Source organism: Homo sapiens, chromosome 1 (genome assembly GCF_000001405.40).
Source record: "Homo sapiens chromosome 1, GRCh38.p14 Primary Assembly".
NCBI classification, from domain to species: Eukaryota; Metazoa; Chordata; class Mammalia; order Primates; family Hominidae; genus Homo; species Homo sapiens.
The window spans coordinates 218541466-218549102 of NC_000001.11; the positions used below are offsets into that span (position 1 = coordinate 218541466).

A 7637-nucleotide genomic window follows, 5' to 3' on the forward strand; every position below is an offset into this window, starting at 1 on the left:
GACCATCCTGGCTAACACGGTGAAATGCCGTCTCTACTAAAACTACAAAAAATTAGCTGGGCGTGGTCGTGGGCGCCTGTAGTCCCATCTACTCGGGAGGCTGAGGCAGGAGAATGGCGTGAACCTGGGAGATGGAGCTTGCAGTGAGCCAAGATTATGCCACTGCACTCCAGCCTGGGCAACAGAGCGAGACTCCGTCTCAAATAAAAAAAAAAAAAATGAGAACCACTCAGACTGTATTCTCTCTCTCTTTCTCTCTCAGAGTAAGAGAAGAATGATCATCCGTGGCAATGGCAGTTTCAGTGAGGTAGCACCAAGAGCCGGCCTCACACGCAGGAGAGAATGCTACACCCTCTTTTCATGGTTTCTGGTGCTCTACAGGTTCAGAGAAACTCTAGAAGTTTATCTGAAATAATCCCTGAAAGTATAGTCTTAGCATAGTTTTATTGATTCCACAAAGACAGATAACTTATATTTGATCTGGTTGATAATTAAGATGTAACTAAAATGTAGGTAGGTCCTAGGTATATCAGGATGGTTGTTTTAAGATTAATTTAAATATATATCATTTAAATGCTATTTTAATGTGATTAAAAATAAACTAGCTACTGGGCCGGACACAGTGGCTCACACCTGTAATCCCAGCACTTTGGGAGGCCGAGGTGGGCGGATCACAAGGTCAGGAGTTTGAGACCAGCCTGACCAACATGGTGAAACCCCATCTCTACTAAAAATACAAGAATTAACCAGGTATGGTGTTGGGCACCTGTAATCCCAGCTACTCAGGAGGCTGAGGTAGGAGAATTGCTTGAACCCAGGAGGCGGAGGTTGCAGTGAGCTAAGATTGTGCCACTGCTCTCCAGCCTGTATGACAGAGCAAGAATCCGTCTTGAAAAAAACAAAAATAAAATAAACTAGCTACTATGTGTACCAATGAAAAATTACATTTTAACTGGTATTTCTTTATTAATATAAATCACACCATTTCACATTTAAGTTTTTAAAAATAAAAAATAATCTTACCAAATTTGTATGCCCCAATTTGTTATCAGAGTGGAAATATTTTAGAAGAAACTGAACTGGGAATTAACATAAGTATTGGCTTAAAGATGTTATTTTAAAAATCAAAAATAAATCCATGCCTCTCTTTAAAACATTAACAACTTAATTAGTAGATTATTGTTTGAACATAATTTAAAAGTTAACTGATTTAACTTTTATGAAAATCATGATTAGTAAATGTAATGAAATGAGTTGTATGTCAATTGAACATGAATTTCAAATTGAATGTTAATTTTAACTACCTAAGCTTCATTTTGCTAAACTACAAACTTGGATTATTCATTTCTATTAGCCTATCTCTCATGTCACTATAAGCTACAAAAAGTGATATTACCAATTTTAAAAGTAAAATTTCTGGCAAATATTATAGCTGAAAGAAGCAAACTACCTATCTTCATCTTAACTACCTAAGCTTCATCTTGCTATCTAACTTTTATCTTACTAAACACAAACTTGGATCAATTTGTTTCTATTAGCCTGTCTCTTATGTGACTATAAGGGCACAAAAAGAGTGATATTACCAATTTTAAAAGTAAAGTGTGTGGTAAATATTGTAGTTCAGAGAAGCAAAAGAATAAAATGAATTAGAGTCAGGGTAGGCTCCACAGTATAAGTTAAACCTTTTCAGGGTTAGTAAAAATCTTATTAACAAAAGCCTATTCTTTCAGTTTCACGTTTTCCAAAGAGGAGGGTAATTAAGGAGGAAGGTACCCACTTTTAGGTAGAAACCTGGGTGTTTAAGGAAGTGATTAAAATGAGTCTCCCGGAACTACCAGTGGACCCTAGCACTCTTCCAGCTTTATTGGTGCCCATCAGTCATTCAAAATCTGCCCAGGCCTCTAAAACTGTTCTTATTAAGATTAGACCTGAGTGAATCCACAAACATAAAAATAAGACTAATGTGAACCTTTGCCGAAAATGCAAATCCAACCTAAATTGCCGCCCTGTTTTTTAGGTTAAAAAATTCTGGCCGGTTATTTTTTTTTCCAAATTAATTTTGGATCATAAGAGTCTATTAGCTGGTTTTTGCTGGCACCACACTGCTGAAAGGATGACAAGAAATAGGGAGCCTTGGAAATTGTACATGTCTGCCCTAAGAATTCCAGTCCCATTTTATAACCCAGAAAGTCTTAGATCATTTGGATCTGGTTTAGATAAACTGACTAGAATGAAACCAAATCAGTGCATCTTCTAAGCTTCTCCCAGCCATCCTTCATTAAGAGAAGAGTCATTTTTGCCTTTTATGAAAAGGCAGAGCCAAAAGATCAATATTCACTGGCTTTCCTTCCATCCAAAACTTTTCCCACAGGTCTGCTGCCAACTTATGAGCAGAAGTTTCAATTTTTGCATCTCTGTTTTTCAAATACAGGGGAGTTATATGGGGGCATTCCCCATAGCCTTGTCAGGCCCTGTGCTTCCCCTTAGTTCAAAGTGTCTCTGTAGAACTGTGTACTTGGGCATTTGTGACAGCCCTGGCACCAGCATGTCCACCACTGAAGATGGGCCCTGCCATGTCTTTGCTGCTGAGGGTGCACAGAAAACCCCTGAAAATGATGCTACAAGTGTTATAAGCACTTTTTGGTCTTCTTCAAACCGTAGCCATAGGGGCACCTTGGAACCACCTCAGGAGACTGTAGAAATAAGATGTGCATATTCTTACTTTTAGGCATTCAAAACTATCTCTGTCAAACGTTGTCTATCAAATTTGATAGAGAGAAGCATGTTGTAGAGGAGAAAGCACAGTCTTTTGCCCTTGATGGACACACATTGCCTGACTGCCTGGGAAATCTCATCTTCAAGGTGGATGATTTTTTGGCTCCCTATTAACTTCTAATGAGTGAGATCCAAGACAGAGCAGTCTTATAGTAAATGTCAGCCCACAGCAAATAAAGACTCCTAGAACACTAGAAATAGAAGTTCTCTTTGAGATTATGTAGTCCAGTATCCTCATTTTACGTAGAGAGAAATATGGCTCAGAGAGATTGGGTGACTTCCCCAGGGTCTCACAGCCAGTTTGAGTCTGAGGTGCAATGAGAATCTAGGTTCTTCCATATTTGGCAGCTTCAAATCTGTCCTTGGAAGCCAATGGTTTCCTTCAGTTCTCATAAATTAGAACAGTTCTGAATAGCAATCAAGTTGTTACTTTTTGTTCCTTATGTTGTTATACTGCAAATTTTAGTTTAAACCCTTACAAATTTTATAAAACTGGCTTAAAACTTCTAACTTTCTCAATGATAACTGTGAATGTCTGAATACACAATTTGGCTGAACTCAAAGACAGTTATTGATTGAAACTCTGTAACATATAGTGTCACAAGGCTCCATTAGCCGTGAGTTCCATGAGGGCCATTAATTATGGATATTTTGTTCCGGGCCTAGAACAGAACTTGTACATAGTAGATACTCAACAAATATTTTTGCAATAAATTTTCCCATTATCTATCTAACTTTTCCAATTTAGCAGTTCAAGTGATATTGTCCTCCTAGCAATAATTAATATTCAAAAAGTTTTTATGTTCAATTCATGAGTCTCATATCCACTTCAATTGAATGTTCTCAATTCTGTGTTATATGCCTTCATATTTATTCCATTGACTTGAACTAACAATCAGTTACTTGGTATCAGTTATATGTATTTGTCTTAGTCTGTTTTCTGTTACTACAATAGTATCCCATAGACTGGGTAATTTATAAGGAAAATAAGTTTATTTAGCTCATGGTTCTAGAGGATGGAAAATCCAAGAGCACTGTGCTGGCATCTGGTGAAGGCCTTTTACTGTGTCATAGTAAGGCAGAGGGCATATTGTGGTGAAGAAGGCAAAAGCAAGAGAGCCAAAGAGAGCTCACTTTTATAACGAAGCCACTTTTGTGATAATAAAACCTCTGGTGATAGTGATATTAGTTCATTCATGAAGGCAGAAATATTCTCTCCAACACATTAACTCTTGGGAGACACCATCACATGATAAGAGAACATTGTTCTATTTGTTAAATTGTTGATTTTTTTTTGAGACATCTTACTCTGTTGCCCAGGCTAGAGTGCAGTGGCATGATCTCAGCTCACTGCAGCCTCTGCCTCCTGGGTTCAAGCAATTCTCCTGCCTCAGCCTTCCAAGTATCTTGGACCACAGGCATGTGCCACGACACCCAGCTAATTCTTTTTCTATTTTTTTTAAATAGAGATAGGGTTTTGCTGTTTTGGCCAGGGTGGTCTCAAACTCCTGACCTCAAGTGATCCACCCGCCTCTGCCTCCCAAAGTGCTGGTATTAGAGGTGTGAGCCACCATGCCCGGCCTAAATTATTGAATTATATTATGCACACAGAAAGATGCTTTTAAATGTGCAGCTCACTGAATTTTCTCAATATCAACATTGTCTGGTTTTTAATAAAAAACATATAAATAATAGCAAATCATGCTTCTGTCATTGATCAGTTTGCAATTTCTTTAAAAGAAAATACATACATAAAAATTAATTCTGCAAAAGACATGTGAAATAAGTAGACTGTATGGCATTTGTTGGAAGAGTACAGCAGAGAGAGAACATTGAGCTGGAATAGTTTGGGAAGGTTTTATAGGAAGAGACAGGATTTAGACTAGGACTTAGAGGACAGATGTGAATTGGGAGAGAACAAAGAGAAGGAAAGAATATTTGGGTTAGAGGAACTGATTGATCAAATGTCATCATGTTCAACATGAGACCAGTAGGTGAACAGCAAGTGGAGCTATATGGAATAAGAGGACTGAAGTTTTATATTATGGAAATTCTGTTTGGAAAAGAAGGGCCTTATACTTTATACAAATACTGTATATACATTATGCTAGATAAGTAAATTTTGTTTAAACTACAATAGAAATGAAAGAAGAAAAGGCTGATTGAGAAGTATAGGTTGTTTTGTAGTCTATGGTAATGGTACTCCCTGGAGATGTTCAGTGTTCAACCTGCACAAATCTGCATGCTAGTCCTTGTGGAGCCTGACCTCACATGGCAGCAGCAGGAATGAAAAGAAAGTGAAGATGTGCAAGAGACTACAAATAATTGAAGTGTTGTTGAACATAGCTTATTGGGTAGTAAGAAATTAAAGGCAGACCATGGTTTAATATGTAGTTTCCCTAATAACATTTTAGGCTGCGCTCTTGATGTTTTAATTCCAAAAAATAACTTGTGAAATTTCACTATGAAGTTGGCCCAGAAGGTGATATATTTTTGGTCAAAGGCTTTTTTGATGAACCTTAAGAAATAACAACTCCATACTTCTTTCATTTGTAAGCCTGACCCCATGTGGAGGTATGGGCTAGGCAAATAAATAACAAGAATAAGAACACCTTTATTCCTCTCACATTCCCTTGACTTTGTCCTTTGTACCATGGCAAACTGGAAGGGGACATTGAAGAATTAATATGGAGTGTGAGGCTCTCACAGTGGCCCCTGAGGAACAATTTTCAATATGTTACACTGTTATGCTAAGAAAGTTTGCAAACCAGGTCATTTGATTCAACTCCCCTCTAATAAGCATCAGCAGTGTCAAGTTGCTCAAAGAATCTTCACTAAATCTAAATAAATATAAGAATTTTACAAACTTTCCACAAAGATTTATTGGGTACCTCTTGTGTGGCTACCACTCTGGAGTGTCTTCCTGGCATATAGGTTGGTGCTCAATAAACATTTATTAGATGAAGAATTAATGAATTAGTAAAAACTTGTGTTTTAGGAGGCTAATGTGCTGGATTTGAGAGGAAGAAGGCCAGAGGCAACAAGAACAGTTGAACTTTTGTTGTAATCCAGACCTTAGACTGTGAAAGTTTAAATGAGAATACAAGGAAAAGGCAGGGAAGTGGTGGCTTATGGGAAATGTCAGTGAGACATTGTAGCTCATTGGCTACAGGGAAACTATTAAGATGAATGAGAAGAAAAGAGTCAAAGACAGTTGGGTTTTGAGATCTGAGTAGAAAGAGTATTCAAGTAGTGGAAAGTGAGTAGGAATGGCATTATTTTTAGGCATGTTTGGTTGGGGTCATGGGAGAAGCCTTTGCATGGAGACATCCTGAAACCACAACTCTCCAACTGGTGTCTGGGTCAAAGCCAGAGCTAAAAGTGCCTCAATTCATCAATCGTTGGAAGTACACATGTCAGCCATTAAGATGGATTGACATGTCACAATGCAAAATCAATTACTTTAGGTTAAAAAAAAGCATTTTTGTCTGTTTTATCATATCTCAATCATCAAATTTCTTTTGCAAAACTAATGAGTTTTATTTAAACCCAACATGCTTGCAATATGACTGCTAAAACAACAATATGCAATTTTGAACTGCATTAATATGGTGTCCGAAGAAAGGAGCAATGTTGCATAGCATTGCTTCTCAAACCTTTTGTCACTATCACTCCCTAAGGAGCCTTTTTAGATTGCTTGAGACTGATGGTATTTGGAGTTAAGACAAAGGGATAACTTCACAGGGAGAAGAGTGCAAAGAGCAGAAGCCTAATGACCACGCCAGGAGGAGTGCAGGGAGGGCTGGAAACAGAGATGGTGCATTTAAAGGATGGAGAATGTAAGACTTGTGAGTCACTAAGTCAAGGGGAAAGAGAGTTTTCAATAGGTAGGTAATGAAAGAATTGTCAAGTACTAAAAAAGATAAAAAAGAAAACAAACAAGAAAAGTCCATTAGATTAATCATTTTCAAACTGGATTTATAAAATTTGTGTCTGCGGTCATGAATAGGTGACATATTAATAACTAGTCAGATCAGTTTTAGAAATTAAGTGGAAATAATTGCCTGCCCCCAGTTAGTTGGAGCTATGTATATATTTTAAAATAAAGTTGTTTGGTTTGTTGTTTTTAATATGCTGTATGGACGCTGGGTAGCTGTATCACAAGAAGGATTTCGATATAGTTTCTTTTCTAGTAGTGAAGGCTCTTCATTGTTAGCACCAAGGGAAACATAGTCCATCTAAGGTCGAGGCATATTTTCAGCAGGAACTGGCAGTTGTTCAGTCATTGGGTGGCTAACAAAGAATTTTCAGTGTAAGGACGAAGGGGCGTAGTCACTCAGCTCCACCGTTCAGGTAGCCAATGTGCTCAGCGATGTGGTTGAACAGGAATGGGGACACATCACTAACTGCATAGGGAAGATTTTCAGGCCACTGCCGTGTGGGATTTTGTTTATTGGTCAGGTTTGCAAACAACTTCCCTCAGACCAAATATTGAAGTAGTTTAAGCTTGGAGAAAATTAGGGAGGTGGTTCTGCATATGCCTTGAGTCCTAGACTCGATGGGTTCTGAGAGATCATGTATCCTGGCCCTCGGCCTATGATCTATTCTGTTTCACTCTATTATTGAAAAGATTGTCAACCAGTTTCTCCTTGACAGCTTCCAGCAAAGGGGCGTTCACTACATTGCAAGGAAGTTTATCCTGAAATTAGTAATCTGTATCTTACAGCTGTTGCAATTTCCTGGGATAGTGCATAATATCTACTAGCCAGTGTTCTTGGCACTTTAGAGATATTCACCCATTTAATCTTCACTTTAACTCCATGGATAAAATGTCCACCTAACAAAGTAAATTCTATTAATAC

General features: G+C 37.9%; 1 non-coding gene across 1 annotated transcript; it reads right to left on the reverse strand.

The window, feature by feature from the left end:
• Positions 1-224: 224 nt before the first annotated feature.
• On the reverse strand, positions 225-434 carry LOC124904666 (small nucleolar RNA U3). Its single transcript, XR_007067172.1, has one exon. It is a non-coding gene; the product is annotated as a small nucleolar RNA U3 (small nucleolar RNA).
• Positions 435-7637: the final 7203 nt, after the last annotated feature.